The 25303-nt window shown below is 43.2% G+C and overlaps 2 protein-coding genes across 12 annotated transcripts in view, besides 3 other annotated features; one reads left to right on the top strand and one right to left on the bottom strand.

The window, feature by feature from the left end:
- Positions 1–13278, bottom strand: part of ANXA4 (annexin A4) — a 183305-nt gene extending 170027 nt beyond the window's left edge. For all 7 annotated transcript variants that reach the window (XM_047444083.1, XM_017003943.2, XM_024452835.2 and 4 more), the window contains exons 1-2: positions 12181–13278; positions 3804–4088 (exon numbers count right to left, since the gene is read on the bottom strand). The gene's annotated coding sequence lies outside the window, so the exon portion shown is untranslated. The remainder of the gene's footprint in view (positions 1–3803; positions 4089–12180) is intronic.
- Positions 11561–12163: an enhancer, noted in NCBI's record as "NANOG-H3K4me1 hESC enhancer chr2:69872055-69872657 (GRCh37/hg19 assembly coordinates)". NCBI's record gives its function as "activates a minimal SCP1, AML or CMV promoter by ChIP-STARR-seq in naive H9 embryonic stem cells {active_cell/tissue: H9 hESC(naive)}" and the evidence as "EXISTENCE:reporter gene assay evidence [ECO:0000049][PMID:30033119]".
- Positions 12919–13188: an enhancer, noted in NCBI's record as "active region_15975". NCBI's record gives its function as "activates an Ori minimal core promoter by ATAC-STARR-seq in GM12878 lymphoblastoid cells {active_cell/tissue: GM12878}" and the evidence as "EXISTENCE:reporter gene assay evidence [ECO:0000049][PMID:35858748]".
- Positions 13269–13598: a silencer, noted in NCBI's record as "silent region_11597". NCBI's record gives its function as "represses an Ori minimal core promoter by ATAC-STARR-seq in GM12878 lymphoblastoid cells {active_cell/tissue: GM12878}" and the evidence as "EXISTENCE:reporter gene assay evidence [ECO:0000049][PMID:35858748]".
- The window catches only part of AAK1 (AP2 associated kinase 1), a 185743-nt gene continuing 173786 nt past the window's right edge, over positions 13347–25303 (top strand). For 4 of the 5 annotated variants that reach the window (NM_001371577.1, NM_001426746.1, NM_014911.5 and 1 more), the window contains exons 1-2: positions 13347–13511; positions 13812–14208. In NM_001371577.1, coding sequence (NP_001358506.1) covers positions 14046–14208 — 163 coding nt within the window. In that variant the 5' untranslated portion in view covers positions 13347–13511; positions 13812–14045. The remainder of the gene's footprint in view (positions 13512–13811; positions 14209–25303) is intronic. The other variant, NM_001371575.1, reaches the window with a different exon arrangement.

Genomic DNA, 25303 nt, shown 5'->3' with positions numbered 1-25303 from the left:
GAGGTGGAGGTTGCAGTGTGCTGAGATTGCGCCACTGTACTCCAGCCTTGGTGACAGAGAGACTCCACCTCAAAAAAAAAAAAAAAATGAATATAGTGATTATATCAGTAAAAACATTGTAAAGCCACTATAATAGCTCACAGTGTATGATATTTCACAGTTGTTTCCAGCTGAAAGGCTGTAGATTTCTACTGTGGCCTAATCTCTGCCCTCCTGTTACACCAGCAAGAACTAATGAGCAGGCCCAGTGGCTCACACCTGTAATCTCAGCACTTGAGGAGACTGAGGCAGGCAGATCACCTGAGGTCAGGAGTACAAGACCAGCCTGGCCAACATGGTGAAACCCCATCTCTACTAAAAATACAAAAATTAGTTGGGTGTGGTGGCGCATGCCTGTAGTCTCAGTTACTCAGGAGGCTTAGGGAGAACAGCTTGAACCCAGGAGGTGGAGGTTGCAGTGAGCGGAAATCAGGCCGCTAAACTCCATCCTGGGGGATAGAGCAAGACTCCATCTCAAAAAAAAAAAAAAAAAAAGGAACTACTGTATTTGGAAAATATGTGCAGAGAAGCACTAAACTCTGAAGTTTCTAATGAACTGGGGTCAATACTGTATTCAGTAGTTCAGCGGTTATGACCAAGTATCATATATATATATACACACACATATATATATACATATATATACATATATATACACATATATATACACATATATACACATATATATACACATATATACACATATATATACACATATATATACATATATATACATATATACATATATATACATATATGTATATATATACGTATATACATATATATACGTATATACATATATATACGTATATATATACATATATACATATATATGTGTGTGTATATATATATATATACGTATATATATTTTAATTATACTTTAAGTGCTGGGATACATATGCATAACGTGCAGGTTTGTTACATAGGTATACACATGCCATGGTGGTTTGCTGGACCCATCAACCCATCATCTACATTAGGTATTTCTTCTAACGCTATCCCTCCCTTAGCTCCCTACCCACTGACAGGCCCCAGTGTGTGATGTTCCCCTCCCTGTGTCCATGTGTTCTCATTGTTCAACTCCCACTTACGAGTGAGAACATGTGGTGTTTGGTTTTCTGTTCCTGTGTTAGTTTTGAGAATGATGGTTTCCAGCTTCATCCATGTTCCTGCAAAGGACATGAACTCATCTTTTTTATGACTGCACAGTATTCCATGGTGTATATGTGCCACATTTTCTTTATCTAGTCTATCACTGATGGGCATTTGGATTGGTTCCAAGTCTTTGCTATTGTGAACAGTGCCGCAATAAACATATGTGTGCATGTGTCTTTAAAGTGGAATGATTTACAATCCTTTGGGTATATACTCAGTAATGGGATTGCTGGGTCAAATGGTATTTCTGGTTCTAGATCCTTTTGGAATCGCCACACTGTCTTCCACAATGGTAGAACTAATTAACACTCCCACCAACAGTGTAAAACCGTTGCTCTTTCTCCACATCCTCTCCTGCATCTGTTGTTTCCTGACTTTTTAATGATCGCCATTCTAACTGGCATGAGATGGTATCTCATTGTGGTTTTGATTTACATTTCTCTAATGACCAGTGATGATGAGCTTTTTTTCATATGTTTTTTGGCTACATAAATGTCTTCTTTTGAGAAGTATCTGTTCATATCCTTTGCTCACTTTTTGATTGGGTTGTCTGTTTTTTTCTTGTAAATTTGTTTGAGTTCCTTGCAGATTCTGGGTATTAGCCCTTGGTCAGATGGATAGATTGCAAAAATTTTCTCCCATTCTCTAGGTTGCCTGTTCACTCTGATGACAGTTTCTTTTGCTGTGCAGAAACTCTTTAGTTTAATTAGATCCCATTTGTCAATTTTGGCTTTTGTTGCCATTGCTTTTGGTGTTATAGTCATGAAGTCTTTACCCAGGCCTCTGTCCTGAATGGTATTGCGTAGGTTTTCTTCTAGGGTTTTTATGGTTTTAGGTCTTACATTTAAGTCTTTAATCCATCTTGAGTTCATTTTTGTATAAGGTGTAAGGAAGGGGTCCAGTTTCTGTTTTCTGCATATGGCTAGCCAGTTTTCCCATCGCCATTTATTAAATAGGGAATCCTTTCCCCATTGCTTGTTTTTGTCAGGTTTGTCAAAGATCAGATGGTTGTAGATGTGTGGTGTTATTTCTGAGGCCTCTGTTCTGTTCCATTGGTCTATATATCTGTTTTGGTACCAGTACTATGCTGTTTTGGTTACTGTAGCCTTGTAGTATAGTTTGAAGCCAGGTAGTGCGATGCCTCCAGCTTTGTTCTTTTTGCTTAGGATTGTCTTGGCTATCCAAAATTCCTCAATAAAATACTGGCAAACCGAATCCAGCAGCATATCAAAAAGCTTATCTGCCATGATCAAGTCAGCTTCATCCCTGGGATGCAAGGCTGGTTCAACATATGCAAGTCAATAAACATAATCCATCACATAAACAGAACCAATGACAAAAACTACATGATTATCTCAATACATGCAGAAAGGGCCTTCAATAAATTTCAACACCCCTTCATGCTAAAAACTCTCAATAAACTAGGTATTGACGGAATGTATCTCAAAATAATAAGAGCCATTTATGACAAACCCACACCCAATATCATATTGAATGGGCAAAAGCTGGAAGCATTCCCTTTGAAAACCGGCACAAGACAAGGATGCCCTCTCTCACCGCTCCTATTCAACATAGTATTGGAAGTTCTGGCCAGGGCAATCAGGCAATAGAAAGAAATAAAGAGTATTCAAATAGAAAGAGAGGAAGTCAAATTGTCTCTGTTTGCAGACGACATGATTGTATATTTAGAAAACCCCATTGTCTCAGCCCAAAATCTCCTTAAGCTGATAAGCAACTTCAGCAAAGTCTCAGGATACAAAATCAATGTGCAAAAATCACAAGCATTCCTATACACCAATAATAGACAAACAGAGAGCCAAATCATGAGTGAACTCCCATTCACAATTGCTACTAAGAGAATAAAATACCTGGGTATACAACTTATAAGGGATGTGAAGGACCTCTTCAAGGAGAACTACAAACCATTGCTCAAGGAAATAAGAGAGGACACAAACAAATGGAAAAACATTCCATGCTCATAGATAGAAAGAATCAATATTGTGAAAATGGTCATACTGCCCAAAGTAATGTATAGATCCAATGTTATCCCCATCAAGCTTCCATTGGCTTTCTTCACAGAATTAGAAAAAACTACTTTAAATTTCATATGGAACCAAGCATCATATTTTAAAACTTCACAAGGAGGCATGGCTAAGGACTGGTGCCTGGCCCTCCAAAATACCCTCTAGGGGAAAGACAGTCATTTTTAAGAGTTCTCAGCTTAGGCAAGAGGGCAAGACATAGTGTCCAATCATAAGTGAGTTTCCAGGGCTGGTTTAGGAAATGGTGTCACAAGGGGCCCAGGGGTAATTGCTAGGCTATCCTAAGAAGTATGTGGAGGCTGGGATTCAGGAATTAGGGTATTTTCCTCTCAGGAATGGAGAAATGCAGGAGGGCATTTGGTTCCTGTGTCCCCAGGACTCTACTGCTAGTGAAATCTAAGGATGAGGTGAGTATATGTTCCAGTTTACCTGGACAGTCCAGTTAATGATTTTTGTCCTAGCATAATTTTCATTGTCCCCACTTTCACTCCTGAAGCATCTCAATTGGACTGTAAATCATATATCATTTACGCATACTTCACATTTATTCTCCATTTCTGTACTTACCTAACTGTGGACCAGTAACAAAGTTCAAGCACTGGCACTGGTTTGTGGATCAACACTTTCGGTAGCGTGGTTTTAGGAGTCAGAATAAGACTTCTAGTAGAACATCCTTTACTCCAGTGTTGAGTGATTATTCGCTCAAATAGTCCTGAAGAACTGAGACCAGAGTTCCAGATTTGGCTCCTGTGTGGATGACGTGTAGCTTCTTGTTGTTCCTCAGACACAGATCACACCCCATAGCCAAAATGTGTTCTGTGACACAGGGGCATCCAACTAAGAGGCTGTGAACTAAGGGAGAAAGATCTTAAGAATACATGTCTCACTAAGGTTAGGCCAGGAATATTCCCTGACCATTTCAGGAACCCCACTCTATATTTTATGTCAAGTATAACAAAGACGTCTTAGCTAAATTCTTTCCTTTTTGTGGGGGACGAAATCTTGCTCTGTCGCCCAGGCTGGGGTGCAGTGGCACTGTCTGGGTTCACCACAACCTCCGCATCCTGGGTTCAACTGATTCTCCTGCCTCAGCCTCCTGAGTAGCTGGGATTACAGGCACCTGCCACCATGCCTGACTAATTTTTGTATTTTTAGTAGAGACGGGTTTTCGCTTTGTTGGCCAGACTGGTCTCGAAAGCCTGACCTCACGTGATCTGCCTGCCTCAGCCTCCCAAAGTGCTGGGATTACAGGTATGAGCCACCGCGCCCAGCCTTAGTTCAATTCTTTAATGTGCCCATTCCAGTCAGCACAACCGGTTTTCAAAATGAAAAGTCTTAAGTTCTAATTTAAGAAGTCATCTGACTAGAGATCCCTAAGCTTCTCCCAACAACCTATTAAAAGTCTTTAAAAGAAAAAGATTGACTCATAGCAACACTGCTCATCTAAGGATGAGTAAACAGAAAAAAATTACAACCACCTCATAGGTTTATGAGAAGATTCTACAGCATATAAAAAGAAAACACAGCACTCAAGATGAGGAAGAGGCTGGGCGTGGTAGCTCACGCCTGTAATCCCAGCACTTTGAGAGTCTGAGGCGAGTGGATCATTTGAGGTGAGGAGTTCGAGGCCAGGCTTGCCAACATGGCAAAACCCTGTCTCTACTAAAAATACAGAAAATTAGCTGGGCATAGGCCTGTAGTCCCGGCTTCTTGGGAGGCTGAGGCAGGAGAATCTGTTGAACCTGGGAGGCAGAGGTTGCAGGGAGCTGAGATTGTGCCACTGCCCTCTAGCCTGGGTGATAGAGTGAGACTCCATCTAAAAAACAAAAAACAAAACTACTTTATGTTTGCAATAAAAATTCAATAAAAAGGCCGAGAATATGGGGGTTTACGCCTGTAATCCCAGCACTTTTGGAGGCTGAGGCAGGATTGCTTGAACCCAGGAAGTTGAGGCTGGAATGAGCTGAGATCACGCCACTGCACTCCAGCCTGGTCAACAGAGTGAGACTCTGTCTCCCCGCCCCCCCCCCCCAAAAAAAAAAAAAAAAAGCCGGGCGCGGTGGCTCACGCCTGTAATCCCACCACTTTGGGAGGCCGAGATGGGGGGATCACGACGTCAGGAGATTGAGACCATCTTGACTAACATGGTGAAACGCTGTCTCTACTAAAAATACAAAAAATTAGCTGGGCGTGGTGGTGGGAGCCTGTAGTCCCAGCTACTCCGGAGGCCGAGGCAGGAGAATGGCGTGAACCCGGGAGGCGGAGCTTGCAGTGAGCCGAGATTGCGCCACTGCACTCCAGCCTGGGCGACAGAGCGAGACTCTGTCTCAAAAACAACAACAACAACAACAAGACAAATGGATACTAAAAAACAGGTAATATATGAAGTATACAGATTGAGGTAAAAAGGAAGAGCTGGCAGTAAGGCAAGTAAGAATCAAAAGAAACTAGACAAGGTAATGAAAATCTCTAAGAAAACAAAAATACGTCTTGCTCTGTCCCCTAGGGTGGAGTGCAGTGGTGTGATCATAGTTTACTGCAACCTCAAGTTCCTGGGCTGAAGCAATCCTCTCGCCTCATTCTCCCAAGTGGGTAGGACTCTAGGCACATGGAACCATGCCTGGCTAACATCCTCACCTGTTCTTTTCCTCATCTGTTTGTTTTGCACCATATTGTTTAGTACATGGTAGTTCACTACATACTGATTGAATAAAGGAACACTCTCAAATCAATTCTTAAAAATAAATGCTCCAATGGAAAAATGGAAGAGGATACAATTTAGAAATGAAGAAATATACACAACCAATAATTACTACATTATAAACTCTGTGAAGGAAAACACATGTCCATCTTCTTTATCATATTTCCAGTGCCTAGCATTGTTTTGGTATATAACAGATTCTTAATAAACAACTGATGAATAAATAAATGAACAAGAAAAATTGTTCAGCCTCACTAATTTAAACAATGACAACAAAAAACACCATTCCTACCTAACAAAATGAAATCGATTTCTTTTTAAACTGCACAAACTCAGTGCTGGCAAGGGTATGGAAATACTTAGGATTTAATGCCTTCTTTTAAGATCAAAAGCTCTAGCTGGGCACAGTGGCTATGCCTGTAATCCCAAGCCTTTGGGAGGCCGAGGGAGGAGGATTGCTTGAGGCCAGGAGTTCAAGATCAGACTAGGCAACATAGAAACACCCTGTCTCTACAAAAAATTAAGAAATAATTAGCTGGCTGTGGTGCTGTGCACCAGTTATACAGGAAGCTGAGGTGGGTGGATCCCTTGAAAGCCTCAGGTTATGATCATGCCACTGCACTCCAGCCTGGGTGACAGAGCAAGACCCTGTCTCAAAGAAAAAAAAAAGGATACAAAAACCACCAAAAGCTCCTTGAAGGCAAGGAGTGTAACTATTTTGTTTATTGTAATAAACTTTCTAAAGTCTAGCACATGGTGCTTAATAAATATTTGTTTACTGGATCAGTGAATGGAGAACAAATCAATATCAATCTCCTGGAGGGTACTTTGGCTCTCTAGCTGTAAAAACATTCATACCTTTTGACCTAATTATTCCATTTATAACAACGTAGCCTTAGAAAGAAAATCATGGGGCCAAGCACGGTGGCTCATGCCTGTAATCCCAGCACTTTGGGAGGCTGAGGTGAGTGGATCACCTGAGGTCAGGAGTTCAAGACCAGCCTGGCCAACATGGTGAAACCCTGTGTCTACAAAAAATACAAAAATTAGCCGGGCATGATGGCGGGTGCTTGTAATCCCAGCTATTCAAGAGGCTGAGGTGGGAGAATCTCTTGAACCCGGGAGGTGGTGGCTGCAGTCAGCCGAGATTGTGCCATTACACTCCGGCATGGAAGACAGAGTGAGACTCCGTCTCAAAAAAAAAAAAAAAAAAAAAAAAAAAAATCAGGCCAGGCACAGTGGCTCACACCTTTAATCCCAGCAGTTTGGGAGGCTGATGCGGGTGGATTGCTTGAGTTCAGGAGTCCAAGACCAGCCTCGGCAACATGGTGAAACCCTGTCTCTACAAAAATAAAAAAATAAAAAAATAAAAAGCCAGACGTGGTGGTGTGAGCCTGTAGTTCCAGCTACTCAGAAGGCTAAGGTGAGAGGATTGCTTGAGCCCAGGAGGTCGAGGCTGCAGTGAGCTGAGGTTGTGCCACTGCACTCCAGCCTGGGCGGTAGGGCGAGACACTGTCTTAAAAAAAAAAAAAAAAAAAAAAAAAAGAAAGAAAATCAAAGAAGCACACAAGAGAATACAAGAGAATATTCATTCTAATCATATAAAAAGTAACATTTAAAAATAAAACATTTGACAGTAAAGCACTGATTACTAAGCAACTACTAAAAGAATATTTTTAGAGAATATACAATGAAATAGGAAACTATGGAATGAAAAAAATAAAATATAAATATATAATGTGATCTAATATAGTAAAAAAGGTACTTATATATGGAAACATGCTAAAAGGAAATTGATCAAAATGTCAATAGCAATTATCGCTGAGTGGTAGAATTATAGCTGATTTTTATTTTCTTCTATCTACTTTCTTCAATGAGCACATAATTACTTTCTTAAACAAAATCCAAAACCAAAATCAACTGGAAAATAAGAAGACAAGGCTCAGTTTAAAAGAGAAAATTAGGCTGGGCGCGGTGGCTCACACCTGTAATCCCAGCACTTTGGGAGGCTGAGGTGGGCAGATCACCTGAGGTTGAGAGCTCGAGACCAGCCTGACCAACATGGAGAAACCCCATCTCTACTAAAAATGCAAAATTAGCTAGGCGTGGTGGCACATGCCTGTAATCCCTGCTACTCAGGAAGGCTGAGGCAGGAGAATCGCTTGAACCTGGGAGGCGGAGGTTGCGGTGAGCCAAGATTGTGCCATTGCACTCCAGCCTGGGTAACAGAGCAAAACTCCATCTCAAAAAAAAAAAAAAAGAAAAGAAAGAAAGAAAATTAAAAATTAAAAAAATCAAGAAACGTCTTTTTTTTTTTTTTTTTTTTTTGAGACTGAGTCTTACTCTGTCTCCCCAGATGGAGTGCAGTGGTGCACTCTCGGCTCACTGCAAGCTCCGCCTCCTGGGTTAAAGTGATTCTCATGCCTCAGCCTCCCGAGCTGGTATTACAGGTGCATGCCACCATGCCCGGCTAATTTTTGTATTTTTAATAGAGACGGGGTTTCACCATGTTGGCCAGGCTGGTCTTGAAGTCCTGACCTCAAGTGATCCACCTGCCTCGGCCTCCCAAAGTGTTGGGATTACGGGCATGAGCCAGCATGCCTGGGCAAGAACTGTCATTTTTTTAAAAAGGACATGGTTCTTACAAGTTCGCTTCTGCTAAACAGTGGTTCTCAAACTTGAATGTGTATTAGAATTACCTGAAAGGTTTGTGAACAGAAACTGCTGCCTCTGCCCCTCCCTCTTACTCAGTAGGTCTGGATGGGGCCCCAAAATTTGCATTTCTAACAAGTTCCACTTCGCTAAAAGACGGCAACATAGAAAGCCCATATGGTGTAATGAAAATGATGTGGGTTTTGAGGTCAGTCTTGGCTCTGCCCTTTTTAAGATGTTTTGTAGAAATAGTTGACAGACTCTAATCCTGCTCAGCCTCTGTTTCCACACCAATAAAAGTAATGCACACTTCATAGATGTATTGTGAGGGTTAAATGGTATGATTAAATACCCAACATAGTGCTTGACTCAGTTAAGGATTTTAATTAATGGTGGTCCCCTTTCCTTTGATTTCCTCAAAGATACAGCACACTGGGTTTATGGTAACATGATTTAGGTGTACCACAGGTCAAATCATTTCCTTCAAACTTAACAAACCATACATGTTCATCTGCTACTAACAAAATCTTCATTGTTCATCTATAAAATTGGGAATAATAGTGTAACAGTATTTTCTTTGATAAAATAGATAATACTGTCTACTTTGTAGGCAACCATGAAGATTAAATAAAATAATATCAGTCAGGCACGGTGGCTCACATCTGTAATCTCAGCACTTTGGGAGGCTGAGGTGGGAGGATCACCTGAGTCCAGGAGTTTGAGGTCAGCCTGGGCAACAAAGCAAGACCCCATCTCTATTTTTTATATAATTATTTTTTTTAAAAAGTGGCTGGGCGTGGTGGCTCATGCCTGTAATCCCAGCATTTTGGGAGGCCAAGGTGGGTGGATGGCCTGAGCTCAGGAGTTCAAGACCACCCTGGGCAACATGGTGAAACCCTGTCTCTACTAAAATACAAAAAATTAGCCAGGCATGGTGGCACACACCTGTAGTCCCCGCTACTCGGGAGGCTGAGGCACAAGAATCGCTGGAGCCTGGGAGGCAGAGGTTGCAGTGAGACGAGATCACGCCACTGCACTACAACTTGAGCTACAGAGTGAGACTCTGTCTCAAAAAATAAATAAATAAATAAATAAATAAATAAATAAAATAAAAATAAAACAATAAAACAATATATATATATTTTTTAAATTCCATAACTGGCATATGGAAGATACATAGTGTTAACTGAAGAATCCCAAGGTTTATAAATTTGGAGAGGGGAGCTTTACTTTTTATAAAGGGTTGCAGCCTGCAGGCTGGTGATCCTGACAGGCTGGGAAGTGTAGACTCTGGCAGAGACTGAAAGCAGGTATTTAGAGGGAGGAAAAAGTGGAACACAAATTTATGCCAAATGAGTTGGCTAAGAATACACACTTAAGTTACAGGAGCTTTGATTATTCACAAAGCGGGGGGCAGCACATGCATGCATAGTGAGCAAACATGCATGTTACATATGTCCTATGTTCTCTTTGGGGTGGAGATTTAACATTTAAATGCATTACAATTAGGTGAAGCAAAGGACATGAAGACACTCAGTGCACAGCCTCTGAAAACCAGCCAGAACCAGTCTGTGGTTGGTAGTCTCTTACTAGGATGTTACTGAAATCAGTCTCTTGTCCAATCAAAGAAATAGTTATGGTTTGTGGAACAGGGGTTGGGGGGATACAGTTAGTCAGCATCTAGTGGTCAGTGAGCTACAATTGATTCAATATTGCTTATCTCCAGGCCAGTGTCTATTTAGCTACCAGAGAAAAAGAAAAACCTTGTGGCAGTTAGAAGATGGTTTACTCTTCAAGTGTAGGGATGTGTGACTTAACCCTTGCCTGACACAGCCTTAGGTCTTGTTTATAATTTGGCATCTTATTGCCTCAAAGAGTCTGTTCCATCGGTCATATGATCACTATTGTAACAATAGTAAATGGCACTTTCTTTTCCCACTCCCTTTGACTATTTACCCATAGCATCTTCCACACCTAGTTCAAAATTCATCTAGGATACTTCAAATCAATCTTTCCACCTTAATCAGATAGCTCTGTTTTGTGTCACATTTAAAGTAAATTATTTACTTTAAGTACTGCTAAGAACACACTCTATGTAAACTATTATACTGGATGCCCAAGGAGATAAGTAGAAGATGGTTCTCTGGCTTTGAGGTGTTTGGTTGAGACAGCAATATACATTAAAAGTTGAACAGGAATGCAAAGCAGCATGGGACAAATTATACAGAAAGTGTGATAGTTTTGAGATTATAGTGGCTGATCTGTTCATTATTTTGTACTCAGGAACTAAAAAATTACTAAGAGTTGTAAGAGCTCTGGTTTTATAGCTGAGATAATAAGCCCAGTGACACAAGTGGTCTAGGATCCCAGCTATGAAGTGGCAAGAGGTTTCCTGTCTCCTGGTCCTATGCTGCTTGTGCGTGGGTTTCTAACTATTCACGAGTCTTTTAATCAGTTAATGTTTGCTCTCTCTAAGTAGACAGTTTAGTATAGCCAGGTAAGAACTGGGCTTTGAAACTAAAATGTTTGGGTTTGAATCCTGGCTTTGCTATTTACTGTGTGACTTTGGGCAAGTCACTAATCTCTTTGCTTTACTTACCCACCTATAAAATGAGTATAATAATGGTACTTTACTTCATAGGGTGGTTGTGAGCATTATATACTTAATATATGTAAAGCATGAAAAACTGTGGATTTGTCATTATAATTGCTATTAGTCTGTGAGGGAATGGAGGGCAAGGAATCTAGTCATGTTTTTTGTTTTTTAAACCTCTTCCCTCAGCTTCTGATCAGAGCATTCACGTGGGTGTTAAATAAATGCATGTTAGCTACCTTAAGCATATTGGGAGTTTTTGTATCACTGAAGTAAGACTTGAGATTTGTGTAAGCCTGGACTAGTCTGGTACCAGAGAAGTCTAGAAAGGTAAAAACTGAGATAGCATCAGATTGATTTTAGGACCTAGCACAGCTTGTTTAAAAAAGTCAGTCAAGACAAATAAGTGCTGAGAGAAATGGGGGTCAATGAGTCTAATTCCAAATGAGCTTTCTCATCTATTTTAAGATCTGCTTCAAACTTCCTCAGACAAAAATCTGGCCTTTTAAGGAAAGTGCAGAGAACATGCCTTCGTGGGCTTAGTTTGAGGGAATAGGGGCTGCATTTCACCCTGGAGGTGGCTACATGAATTCGTGAACTGAGGTGACAACACTGACTCTCTCCGGAAGAAAAGATGCTATCTCTTCACGGAGTTTAATTACAATGGCACTACTTGAAACAAGCTGCAGCAGCAGCAACAACAAACGCTACTGTTAACCCAGTCACAGCTCAGCTCAATATTCAGATTAGAGAAAGCAAGAACCATTTTTTTCCCTGGGACACCCTTCTCTACTCAAATACCCGCTGAAAAAAAAATTCTGAGACAAGCACTAGGGAGTGGGGAAAGCGGGCAGAGATGAACAATAACCCATATTCAGGGGTTAGAAAAATAATATTAATAAATCATGGTAGGTTTTTTTGTTTGTTTTTGGCAGCAACTTGCCACTCTTCAGCATCATCCATCAGGAAATCTAGGTCGGAAAAGTGTACCAACTGACCTTCCAAATTTTCTGCATTTGGCAGATGCAAATCACACAGTCCATCCCCGCCCTCAGCACTTGGACGGTATCAGGGAAACGTAAGTATCAATGGAAGAATCTTGAAGTGAAAAATAAATAACTGGTCAGGTTAGGGTTAGTGTTCTTGTGTGCAAGGGAGCTAGTGAAGTTTAGGCTTTGATGCGCACCCACAGCGTCAGCAAAGGAGGAGGAATTAAGGGACAGCATGGGCCGAAAAGCCCCCGAGTTTTGAGGTCAAGCCAACGGGCTGGGTCTCCGGTATCCTAGGATCTGCCCTGCACACAACCTTTGGCAGTTTCTCGGTTTGAATCTCGCCTGTACATTTCCAGACGAGACACTGTCTTACTGAGCGTTCTCACAGCGCCTAGCTCAGAGCTGACCGCAGAGCCGGCTCTCAATAACATCGAGACGCAAAAGCAGCTTTTGAGGTTAGGGGCGGAAGGGCATCGGTTTTACTTATTTCAAGGCTGGCGCTCGGTGCAGCCGGATCCAACTGCCAGCACAATGTTCCCGATCACTTCTCGCTTCCATTTCAGCCCAGGAGACGTCGGGAAACCCACAGGACCCGCTAGGGGCTAAGCGGTTAAGCCGCGTCCTTCAGGTGTCAGTCTCGATCCGTTCGGAAACCACAACCTCCAGAATCCCTTGTGCCAGGAGGCCAGGCCGCAAATAAGATGGCTCCAGAAGGGTGGAACATACAGCGGGGGGGGGGGGGGGGGAACTTAGTTGTTGGCAGTTTCTTCACGGGATGTGTTTAAATTGCCGAGTCCCCACATACGCGCCACCCCACAAATCTCCTTCGAGGCCGTGGAGGCCACACGGCTGCCGCCTCGCCCTCTCCTCCAGGAGTATGCTGGGATTTGTAGTCCAGCAGCCGGACTGTGCCGAGCTACCTTTCCCAGCTTGCCCTGCGGCTCGGGTGATATCAACAGTCTTTTCCAGAACTCTGTCTGCACTGAGACCCTCTTCCCCCAGTCCTCTTCTCGCGGTCGACTCCTTCCCATCCGTGGCGACAGAACGGCGGTTGCAGGAGAGGCCCCGGTCCCTCGCCGCGCCGCCCCGAGGGGCACTTCCGGCGGCGGTTCACTTCCTGGTTGGGTGGATGGAGCCGGGCGGGAGCGCGCGCGGGGGAGGGGCGGCGGGTCAGTCTCCGCCCGGCGCTCCCGGGATCAGCTGGCGGGCGGGCGGGAGCCGAGCGCGGCCCCGGCTCTCGCTGCAGCGCCGCCTCTTCTCTGCGTCGCAGGCCGGCCCGGCGGCCGTGACAATGTCGCGGGGCTGGTAGCAGGGCGCCGGCCGCCGAGCCGTCTCAAGTGGGTGCTGCCAGGATGCCGCCTCGAGGGGCGGCGGGGAGACCCGGGAGGAGCGGGAGGCAGTGCCCGGGAGGGTCGGCGCTGCCGGAGCAGCTCGGATCCCTCCTTTCTCCGAGCTCCCGGCTCGGGGGTCCCGGGTTCTGGGGCCGGGGTCGCGTTTTCAGCCCCACGGTTTTTCTCGCCGGGAAAATACATGAAGCGTTTCCCCAGGATGATGGCTTTTGCTCCCCCTAGGACTCAGCGGTTGAATTTTTAAGCGTGTTACTGATTCATCCTCTCTTTCTTCCTCTGTCATCACAGGTTTAAACTTACACGAATCGCTTTCTGGAGGAGGAGGGGACCCGCTGCGCGATTGACACGCATATTCCTATAGGCATCCTCCCTCAGCCCCCACCCCCACGGCCGGATTCGGGTGGCTCCTCTCCGAGGTGAAATCTGAGAAGAAATCCTTGGATCTCTTTTCTTAAAAAAAAAAAAAAAAAAAAAAAATCTAGAAACCATCGGTATTTTGCTTTGCTGCTCCCTATTCGCAAGATGAAGAAGTTTTTCGACTCCCGGCGAGAGCAGGGCGGCTCTGGCCTGGGCTCCGGCTCCAGCGGAGGAGGGGGCAGCACCTCGGGCCTGGGCAGTGGCTACATCGGAAGAGTCTTCGGCATCGGGCGACAGCAGGTCACAGTGGACGAGGTGTTGGCGGAAGGTACGGTGGGGCTCAATGCGCCGTAAATTAAAATCTTGTGCTGATGCGGCAATACTGTGGTTTCTAGTTGTTGCATGTATGAATGGGCTTTGACCAGTTGACCCTCCCTTCCCCCTTCACTTGCCCTGTGAGTCATTGTCCTTGAGAGATTTAAAATTGAGATTTGAAAGTGACTGGGCTTATGGGGGTGTGGGGAGGTTGCCGAAATTGTTTACGTTAGTGGCCTTTTATTTTTATTTTTTTAATATTGAGAAGCCAAATTTTGAGGATCACACAAGAAAACGTATGTGTGAAAGTGTAAAGCTTTATGCCAAAGGCAGGGTGATGGGCTTGTCATCCTCCTAAAACTTAAAATCTTGATGTGAAGGCTGAAGGGTGGGGGGACTTTTAAGAAGAGAGGGGTTTCTCCTTCTCCTACCCAACTTTCCCACTTCCATGAGCAGGCATTGGAAGGAAGAGAGGATTTTCGGAGAACGTGAACGTGTTTTTCCAAGGGCCAAGGCTCTTGGTGGATTTCACTAGTAGATTTGTTTCCTGACCCAACTGTAATCAGGTCCCCAGGTTATAGCAAAGATAACAGAAATTACATAAAACAAATGTGGTTATTTTGAACTCAGTCTAGTAGGCCCCTCTTCCTTCTCGCTTTAGGTTTTGTTTTTTGTTTTTTTAATCAAAAGAAAAATTACTTGAGAGTGGCTCTGATTTTGTTTTTTCGCTATCAGAGAGGATGTTATTTAGATCTGCTGCATAAATTCCCTCTGTGTTTCATCTGTGTGTCTATACTCACGTAGATATACATCTTGATTCCCCCAGGCTTTCGGGAAATCTTTGCATGTCTCTTTTGGTAACCTTAACCTCGACCTTCATAATTATGCCAGACTCATACTTTTCACAGCCCTTCGCCTGCCTAGTGTGCTTTTATTTTTAATAAAAGCAGCAATTTCCTTGGCATGAAGCAATTCAGACTGATTGGATGGGGCCAACCTGCTGTAGGTTGTGTTATAGACCGAGAGGGGTTGGAAGAAGGGAGAGGTCTCTCTTACTGCAACATGGTGATGGTAGGGAACAGTTTTATTAGCAAGGGAAGAGAGAAAGCTAAGAGGCCTCTTTAAAAAGGGGCCTTTTGCAAGCTAAAGTTGAAGCAAGGGTCCTGACCTGGGCCTGGGAAATGCTTACCATGGTGGATGTTGCGGGCTGGTGGGTGGGTTTGGAAGAGGAAGAAGCTGTGTTTGGCTCTCAGCTTGTGTAAGCACTGGATTCAGCAGGGCCCAGTTTTCTGGGAATAGAGTTGAAGTCTGTACTTTAAAAACATGATTTTTAAAAAAGATCTCTGACAGTTAATGTCCATGTGAAATTATTGCTCTTCCAATCTCAGTACTGTTCTAGCTGCGCTTTATCTGGGGCCAGAGTCACTGTCCCCTTGGATCTTTCCCGTGGACTTTGGTGCAGGCTAGGAGATGCTTCTGTGCCCGCTGCCAGATCCGCACCCTTGAGTCTGATCTGTCTCTTTCATCCCTGTGCCAAAGCCCTTAACTGCAGTGGGGTGGAGAAACAGTGAAAAGGAGAGTGTGTCAGAGAGAAATCAGGAGAAACGAAGGGCCACAGAACACTTTCCTCCCCTCTGAATGGCCTCTGCTGACCTTATAGCCCACGAGCGTTTTGTTCAGCTAGGATGTTGTCTCATCACGGATGATGCTGCCCTAAGCGGTGCATGTTCTCCAAGTGTGAGAGAAGTGATAGGGAAAAGAAAAGGCAAAATTGGTCTTTGTTACCTAGGCTGCCTTCCTCTTCTCTGGGATTCATCTTTGAGAACTGCGCATCACGTATTGTGATATTTTTACACAGAATTTAGGACTTGTAGCTCTGCATTTATTCATTCAACAGTTTATGGAGTTGCCTGTGAAGTGCCAGGTGCTGTGCTAGGCTCTGGGGGTATACTGTTAAACTAGATGCTAGCTTTTACCAACTGCTTTAAGAGATGGAAAATAGCCAGTTATAGTGGATTGGTAAATGCCATCATAGAGATAAACTTAGGGTGCAGTGGCCCCCAGTTTTAGGGAGCCCAGGATTTCTGAAGGAAGTGACTGAAGAGTGAGTAGGAGTTAGTGTGGTGGCACCATGGGCAAAGACAGAGTAGCGAGAGAGAATGTCACGTAAAACTGGGTCTGGCTATGCGCCCTTTTTGTGTTCTTTGGCTTAAGTTGAGTTTGAATTTGTGGCTCTTAGAAGTATGTAGATATGTAGGAGCCAGTATACAAAGTATTTATGTAGCACCTACCAAGTCCAAAGACCCTATGAAGTTCTGAGATGGATGAGGGAGGTCTATAGTGTGATTGACATCTGCCTTTAAGGATCTGCCAATGAATTTGGGAAGATGAGGCATACATTCACACATACAGTAGCATGGTTACCAGCACTGTCTGTAGAGTCAGACAGATCTAGGTTCAAATTCTGGATCTGTTCTTTACTAGCTGTGGAACTGTAGGCAAGACATTCCAAACCACTCTTGAATCTCTGTTTCCCTGTGGCAGTGGTTCTCAAAGTGGGGCATACTTATCACCTGCGAGCTTGTTGGAAATGGAGATTCTCAGGCCTCACTCTGTAGGCTGTGGGTGTGGGGCTTAATAAGTTCCTGGAGAGATTCTGACGCAAGGTCAAGTTTGAGAACCACTGCTTAATGGGCTGGTCATGAAGATTAAATGAGGCAATATATATAATTAACATTTTCAGGTGTTCAATAAATGGTAGCCATTACTTACCAGCAACGTTATACATCATATGTATATATGTGGGGGGGGAGAGAGAGAGAGAGAGAGAGAGAGAGTGTGTGTGTGTGTGTGTGTGTGTGTGTGTGTGTGTGTGTTAAAGGGGAGTGGGAGCAATGTGAAAGCTAGTTGAGCTGCAGCAATCTGAAGCAATTCCTTTCCCCCATTGTTAGGGGACAGAGCCAGATGTTCTTTGCAGAGTCCTCACCAGCTCCTTAAAGGCTTAACAGACGTTTTGGGTAGCCATGCTCCTTCCCTGGACTCTCTTCTCTGTGAGTCCCCGAGTGCTGACTTATCTACAGTTCTAGCCAGAGTTGTTTAAGGACCACAGGAGTTGTACCCTGTGTGCCCAGAGCGGTGGCTAGGCAGTTTAGGGAGGAGTGGTGTGAGAGGCTTCAAAACACAGACCAGATTACCACCACATTCCGCTGATGATCTCTTTTTCTCTAGCGTGGGTATTGGTCTGTGCTTTTTCATAAGGAATTGCAAGAACCCCAAGGAGCAGGTGCTGGGTAAGACAAAAAGATGTCGCACTGCCATACCTCCCCTGGTAGCATCAGCCTTCCTGGCCTGGTTTCACTAACTAGTCCAGCAGGGGCTGTTTGGGGGAAGTGAAGGCTTTAAGTTATGAGTTTAGAGGAATATGGCTATTTCTAGGCTGGGTGCCAGGGAGAATATTTTCTTTCTAGCTTTCTCAGCAAAGATGCCATGATGAGAAGCTAAATCATGTCTAAGTTAATGGGCATATGATATCAAGGGAAGATTTGGTTTAAGCTTCCAGAATGAGCTCAATGGGAAAATTGGAGCAATGTTCAAAGAAGGATTGAGAAGCTGTGCTTTTATCATACTTCCTTAGCTATACGAGGACTTATATCTAAGCTTTAAACAATAAATGTTTATTTATTACTGTGTTGAAGACAACATTCTGGAACTATAAGGTGGACTAGATGGCTCCTCAGAACAGCTTTCTAATTTATATTCAAGGAATCCAGGTCCAAGGCTGATGAGAAGTACCAAATGTCCACATCAGTAAACTTTGATAATTTCTCCTACCTACAGAGCAAACTAGTAAGGCTTAAAAATGTGTGTGAAATCACCAAAAATTCCATTAAAGGCACATAATATGTTGGTGGTATCAATATGATACACGTACGTGCCTCTTTGTGGCAGGCACTGTATTAGGTTCCAGAGATCCTAAGATGAATGGGACACAGGCCTGACTCTTAACAGAGCTCAACACCTGAGATAAGTGTCCAGCACTTAAGCGTGGCCTTTGACATACATACCTTAGATGGTAAAAGATGTTATGATAAAGAGCCTGGGGGTGAGAGTTCATAGGTGACATGAAGTTTGAACAGGAATAGAAATTGCCCAGCAGATGTTCCAGATGGGGGTTACTCAGGACCTCTCAGGCTGAGAGAATAGTATAGGCAAAGTGGTGAAACAGCATGATAAATTTTGAGAATACTGACTAGTTTAGTGTTACCATTTTCATCAGTACACATTTCCTCCCCAGAATCAAGGAAAGAAGGACAGAGGACACGGAGTGGTAGAATGAAATTCTTTAAGTTGCTCCCTGGAGGTGCTTGCTACTCACTTTCTTCAGTGGCCCTGGGCCTTTTGAAAGACTGATGAATAGGTACCAAGAATGCACGGCTCCCCTCCTGTGCCTCAGCCCCGTGCCAATTGTGGGGAAAGGGAGCAGCGAGTGTCTGGGGAAAGAGTGGTCCCAGAAGGTTTGATAAGAGGCTAGAAGCTTAAGCAAAAGCAGGCAGGGAAGGGAAATGACCAGTGTTACCGAAAGGTATGAACAGGGGAGATATTGAAGGTGTTTGACCAGAGCAGAAGGTACATTGGAGAGAAAAGGAAGGACTAATTTTATGGAGAATCTTGAGTGCCAGGCAGAGAGATTTAGTTATAAGCACCTGAGACCTTCTCTTGACGCAAACACCAATTTGATCCCTCCCACTTCAGATGTCTTTGCCTGCTGGGAAGTCTGGTTTTTTAGAGGCAACTGCAGATTTTCAGGGGGTGGTTTGTGAATGGTGTCTTCTTCCTGGCTTTGGGCATGATGACGGTTGTAGCTTTGCTAAATATAGCCAAATCTAGAATTCAGAAATGAAGTCCAGAATAAGCAATTGCCATGGTCAAACTCTTTCTTTCAGTCTTTCTAACAAAGTAAAGCTCATTTAATAACAAATAATGATGAAGAGAGAGCAGCAGTTTCACGTGACTTTTGAGTGGGAGGGTATGAGGGGAGACATACACTTGTACCCTGGTAGCTAAAACGCCATGTAGAGTACACAAGAAAGGTTTGATAAATATTAACAAAACACACAAAAAATATTACTGCATCAGAGCCGTCATTTTAACTTGCAATATTTGAATGTTGACGCTTCGGAAAGGGGACTAGTACCACCTTCATCTTGCACCCTTTCAAGGATGCATGCCTTCTGAGCCTACTTATGAGGTAACTGTGACATCCGCATCTGAAAGAGAAAAAAATGATAATAATAGAAACGTATTGTCTATTAAAGTAGCATCTAGCACTGTGAGCTAGCAGAGACTTGCCTCCGGTCTATTTTATGGAGCCATATTTTGGTGTGGTGGAAAGAACACTGCATTATGAATTGGGAGATCAAGGTTTGTCAGTTCATTCACTCCCTTATTCAGTAAATGTTACTGAGCATTCATTATGTGCCAGGCATCATGCGGAGATAAATGAGACATGGCTGTGCCTTGAGGACCTCACAGTCATAGGATTTCAGATATGTGAGCAAATAGCTGCAGATGCTGCGCTGGAGTCATGTAAAAGAGCTGGGGAACAGACCCAAGGCAACAATTTTGTGGGTTGGGGAGTAGTCAGGGAAAGCTAAAGAAAGGTGACATTTGAGGTGTGTCTTCAAAAATGAGAACTTATTGCTAGATGGACAAGGTAGAAGAACATTCTAGGCAGAGAGAATAACATGGCCAAAGACACAAAAGCAGAAAAATAACTGCTTACTGGGGAGCTGTATGTTTTGAGATAGCGATAATCTACTAGTGGCCCAGGGCTGTGCTGTTCAATAAAGTAGCCCACTAGCCACATATGGCTATTTAAATTATCTAAAATAGGCCGGGTGCAGTGGCTCATGCCTGTAATCCCAACACTTTGGGAGGCTGAGGCAGATGGATCACCTGAGGTCAGGAGTTTGAGACCAGCCTGGCCAACATGGTGAAACCTCGTCTCTAGTAAACACACAAAAATTAGCCGGGCGTGGTGGCGGCTACCTGTAATTCCAGCTACTTGGGAGGCTAAGGCAGCAGAATCGCTTGAATCCGGGAGGCAGAGGTTGCAGTGAGCCAAGATCCTGCCACTGTACTCCAGCCTGGGTGACAGAGTGAGTCTCCGTCTCAAAAAAAAAAAAGAAAAAGAAAAAATAAATTATCTAAAATAGCAGTTCATCAGATGCACTAGCCACATTTTGATTGCTTAATAGTCACATGTGGCTAGTGCTTACAGTTTTGGACAGCACAGGTGAGATGTATTTCATCATCACAAGTTCTGGCAGTGTTGGTCTAGAGCAGTAGTCTCTAAACTTTTTGGATAGAATAGTGCTCTAGTTAAAAAACATGCCATATCTTCATGTATGTGTGCTTGTTTATTTGTAAGTTATATTCATGTCCTGCTATCATTAGCTAATATCTGAAGTCACATTATATACTTAGGATGAAGTTCATCATAAATGATAGTGGATGCAAATCTATATTTTAAATAATCTCAACAAGATTTTGGTTAACTTATTCAATTGTGATTGTGTCTACATTGCAGTGTGACTATGTATGAAGAGTATGCCAGGAATAGATATGACAGCTCTGCCATTCTCTTGTTCATTTTTGATTGCATTATCTTTAATCCAAGGTTTTTTTTTAGTAGAAATCTTTTTAAGCCTCTAGTTTGTTTTGTGATGATTAATTAATTTAAAATAATGTAATCAGTGAATCCATTTAACCAAGCACACATGAACTATAGTATATCTCAGTGTGCTATAAAGATGTCACCCCATCAGCCCTCAATAGTGGACATGTGACTGAACATTGACTGAATGGGAGTGCTAGTGTTGGGCCATATGTTATATATTAACAAGGACAAAATCTTATTTTTTCTAAATTTTTAAATGTAAAATACACATAACCTAAAATGTATTATCTTAATCATTTTTAAATGTACGTCTAGGTGTTAAATATATTCATAATATGCAACCATCACCACCATCCATTCCCATAACTCTTTTCATCTTGTAAAACTGAAATTGTACCTATTAAATGACAACTCTCATTCCCACCTCTCTCTAGCCTCTGGCAACCAGCGCTCCACTTACTGTCTCTATGATTTTTACTACGTTGAATACCTCATATAAGTGGAATATTACTGTATTTGGCCTTTTGTCATTGGCTTATTTCACTTAGCATAATGTCCTCAAGGTTCATTTGTTTTGTACCATGTGTCAGAATTTCCTTCCTGTTTAAGGTTCAGGAATATGCCATTGTATATATATGCCACATGTATCATTCATCAGTGGACACTGGGTTGCTTCCACCTTTTAGCTATTGTGAATAATGTTGCTACAGTTATGAACATGGATGTACAAATATCTCTTCAAGACCCTGCGTTCTTTTGGGTATATACTCAGAAATGCAATTGCTAGGTCATATGGTAATCCTATTTTTAATTTTTTAAGGAATTGCCACATTGTTTTCCATAGCGGCTGTACCCATGTTTCATTCCCATCAACAGTGCACAAAGGTTCCAGTTATTCCTCATTCTCACCGACACTTGTTTTCTGTTTTGTGACAGTGGCTATCCTAATGGATGTGAGGTGGTATCTTCTTATACTTTTGATTTGTATTTCCCTAGTAATTTGTGATGTCACGCATCTTGTTATGTGTTTATTAGCTATTTGTATATCTTCTTTGGAAAATGTCTATTTAAGTCCTTTGCCCATTTTTGAATTGGGTTGTTATTTTAGGAGTTCTCTGTATATTCTGGGTATCAATTCCTTATCAGATACATGATTTGCAGATATTTTCTCACATTCTGTGGGTTGCCTTTTTACTTGGAAAATCTTACTTTTTAAAATGAAAATAAATAAAAATAGAGGATCTTTTATTTTCTTTGTCTACCCCAGTGCATTGTCATCTTGTACACTACTGTTTTGAGACCATTGTAGTCTAGAGCAGTGGTTCTGTACCATTTTTTGTTCCTCAAAAAAAGACCAAAAATATTGCAATACTTACTTTAACTTTACTAAGAGAAAACTAGAACATAGGTAAAGATGGTGAACTAGATGCAGCAAGGTTCCATGAAGGTGAGGTTACAGAGAAAAGACTCAGTTAAGAATAGTCTGTCTTCATGAAATCTTTCATAACCATTGCAGTCCTCTCTGATCTCCTTCCTTCAAACCCATAGCTTAGAGACTACACCACAGACCCCATCACTGCAAGAGATATGTAATTGCCTTTTGGGGTTCAGTTGTTTCTTGTGTGTTGGTCATATCATGCCAACTAGCAGGACAGGAGCCGAGTCTTCCATTACTTCTCTGTTTGCCATAGCATCTCAGACAGAGAACATATGAGATGCTTAGTAAAACCTTGCTGCCTCTTTCACTGGCAGGACAAGCTGCTCTTATGCGAAATAGCCTTATATCTACATACTCTCATTTTGTGATTGCGTCATCCCTGCAGAGGTAGAAAGCATGGTTATTACTCCAGCTGTACAGATGAGGAAGCAGTGGCTGACATTGGTTGAATGACTTCTTCAAAGTCATATTGGCAAGAAGTAGCAGTGAATGAACTTGAACCCGAGGCTCCTAGCTACAAGTATAGGATTCTTCCTTAAAATTCTTCCTTGTACAAAGGATCATCAGTATCTTTTCTCATAACATTCTTTTTATATATATATTTTTCAGACAGAGTCTTGCTGTCGCCCAGGCTAGAGTGCAGTGGCACAATCTTGGCTCACTGCAACCTCTGCCTCTCAGATTTAAGCAATTCTCCTGCCTCAGCCTCTCGAGTAGCTGGAACTATAGGCATGTGCCACCACACCCAGCTAATTTTTGTATTTTTAGTAGAGGTAGGGTTTCACCATGTTAGCCAGGCTGGTCTTGAACTCCTGACCTCAAGTGATCCACCTGCCTCAGCCTCCCAAAGTGGTGGGATTACAGGCGTGAGCCACTGTGCCCGGCCCTCTCATAACATTGTTGACCTTTAATAACCAACCCTTCCCAGCTGAATCTCCCTGTGAGCTTTTCAAGTCAGATAATGCTTCCATAGCATTTGAAGGTTGCTTACTGGCTTAGTTCCTCTGGGCTGCTGTAACAAAATATCAGAAACTAGGTAGCCTATAAACAATAGAAATTTATTTCCCACAGCTCTGGAGGCTATGAAGTCCAAGATCAGAGTACCAGGATGGTCAGGTTCTAGTCAGGGCCCTCTTCTGGGCTACAGACTACTGAGTTTTTTTTTTTTTTTTTTGAGACAGCGTCTCATTCTGTCGCCAGGCTGGAGTACAGTGGTGCGATCTTGGCTCACTGCAACCTCTGCCTCCCGGGTTCAAGAGATTCTCCTGCCTCAGTCTCCCAAGTAGCTGGTACTGCAGGCGCGTACCACCATGCCCAGCTAATTTTTGTGTTTTTAGTAGAGATGGGGTTTCACCATGTTGACCAGGATGGTCTCGATCTCCTGACCTCATGATCCACCCACCTTGGCCTCCCAAAGTGCTGGGATTACAGGCGTGAGCCACCGTGCCTGGCACTGCTGACTTCTTGATGTCAGCAGTGGAAGGGACTGCTGCTTTCTGGGACCTCTTTTTGCCTGTTTTCTTTCTCTTTTTTCTTGGGGCCTTTTTTTTTTTTTGAAACAGAGTCTCACTCTGTTGCCCAGGCTGGAGTGCAGTGGCGCGATCTCGGCTCACTGCAAGCTCCACCTCCCGGGTTCATGCCATTCTCCTGCCTGTCGGCTGAGTAGCTGGGACTACAGGTGCCTGCCACCATGCCTGGCTAATTTTTTTTAATTTTTTTATTTTTATTTATTTTTTTTATTGAGACGGAGTCTTGCTCTGTCACCCAGGCTGTAGTGCAGTGGCCTGATCTTGGCTCACTGCGAGCTCTGCCTCCCGGGTTCACACCATTCTCCTGCCTCAGCCTCCCGAGTAGCTGGGACTACAGGTGCCCACCACCATGCCCGGCTAATTTTTTGCATTTTTAGTAGAGACGGGGTTTCACCGTGATAGCCAGGACGGTCTCGATCTCCCGACCTCGTGATCCACTCGCCTCGGCCTCCCAAAGTGCTGGGATTACAGGCGTAAGCCACCGTGCCCGGCTTTTTTTTTTGTATTTTTAGTAGAGACGGGGTTTCACCATGTTAGCCAGGATGGTCTCGATCTCCTGACCTCGTGATCTGCCTGCCTTGGTCTCCCAAAGTGTTGGGATTACAGGCGTGAGCCATCGCGCCTGGCGCTAGTTCATTGATTCTAAGAAAACAAATTTGAAAATTAGGTGATTTGCCTAAAGTCACACCGCCAATTAGGCCCTTCTGAGCAACTCCCAACTACTGTCTCTTCCCACATTGGTCAACAGTCATTTGTGCTACCTTGGCACTACTAACATTTTGGTCTGGGTAACTCTTTGTTGTGGAGGGCTGTCTTGTGCACTATGGGATCTTTAGCAGTATCCATGGCCTCTACCCACTAGTTGCCAGAATTATATAATACATACACAGCCTACTGTGGCAATGAAAAATGTCTCAACATTGCTAAATGTCACCTGTGGGGCAAAATTGCCTGTTTTAGAGAACATGTCTAGTTCAGCATGTTTGTATATGTTCTGGTCTTCTGTTGGTAAAGTTGAAGTAAGTATTGCAATATTTTTGGTCTTTTTTGAGGAAGAAAATGGTCTACATAAATAATTCAGATGTTCTGTGTTTATACCCAAAGCAAAAAAGCCTTTTATTTGCTGTGAATTTAATCACTCAGGAATGATAAACTATTAGCTTGTAAGGTGATACTGGCTGTAGCATTTTATACCTCCTTTCTCCCTTTTTTGTTTTTATTATTATTGATCTATTATTTTTATTATTTAGCCTATTATGTATACTTTATTTATTTTTGAGACAGGGTCTCACTTTGTCACCCAGTGGGGTGATCTCAGCTCCCTGCAACCTCCGCCTCCCGGGCTCAAGCGATCCTTCCACCTCAGCCTCCTGAATATCTGGGACCACAGGTGCGCACCACCACACCTGGCTAATCTTTGTATTTTTTGTAGAGGTGGAGTTTTGCCATGTTGCCCAGGCTG

The sequence above is a fragment of the Homo sapiens genome, chromosome 2 (assembly GCF_000001405.40).
Source record: "Homo sapiens chromosome 2, GRCh38.p14 Primary Assembly".
In the NCBI taxonomy this organism is placed as follows: Eukaryota; Metazoa; Chordata; class Mammalia; order Primates; family Hominidae; genus Homo; species Homo sapiens.
The sequence above is the reverse complement of the archived record's forward strand: the minus strand, read 5'-3'. Positions and strand labels throughout refer to the sequence as shown.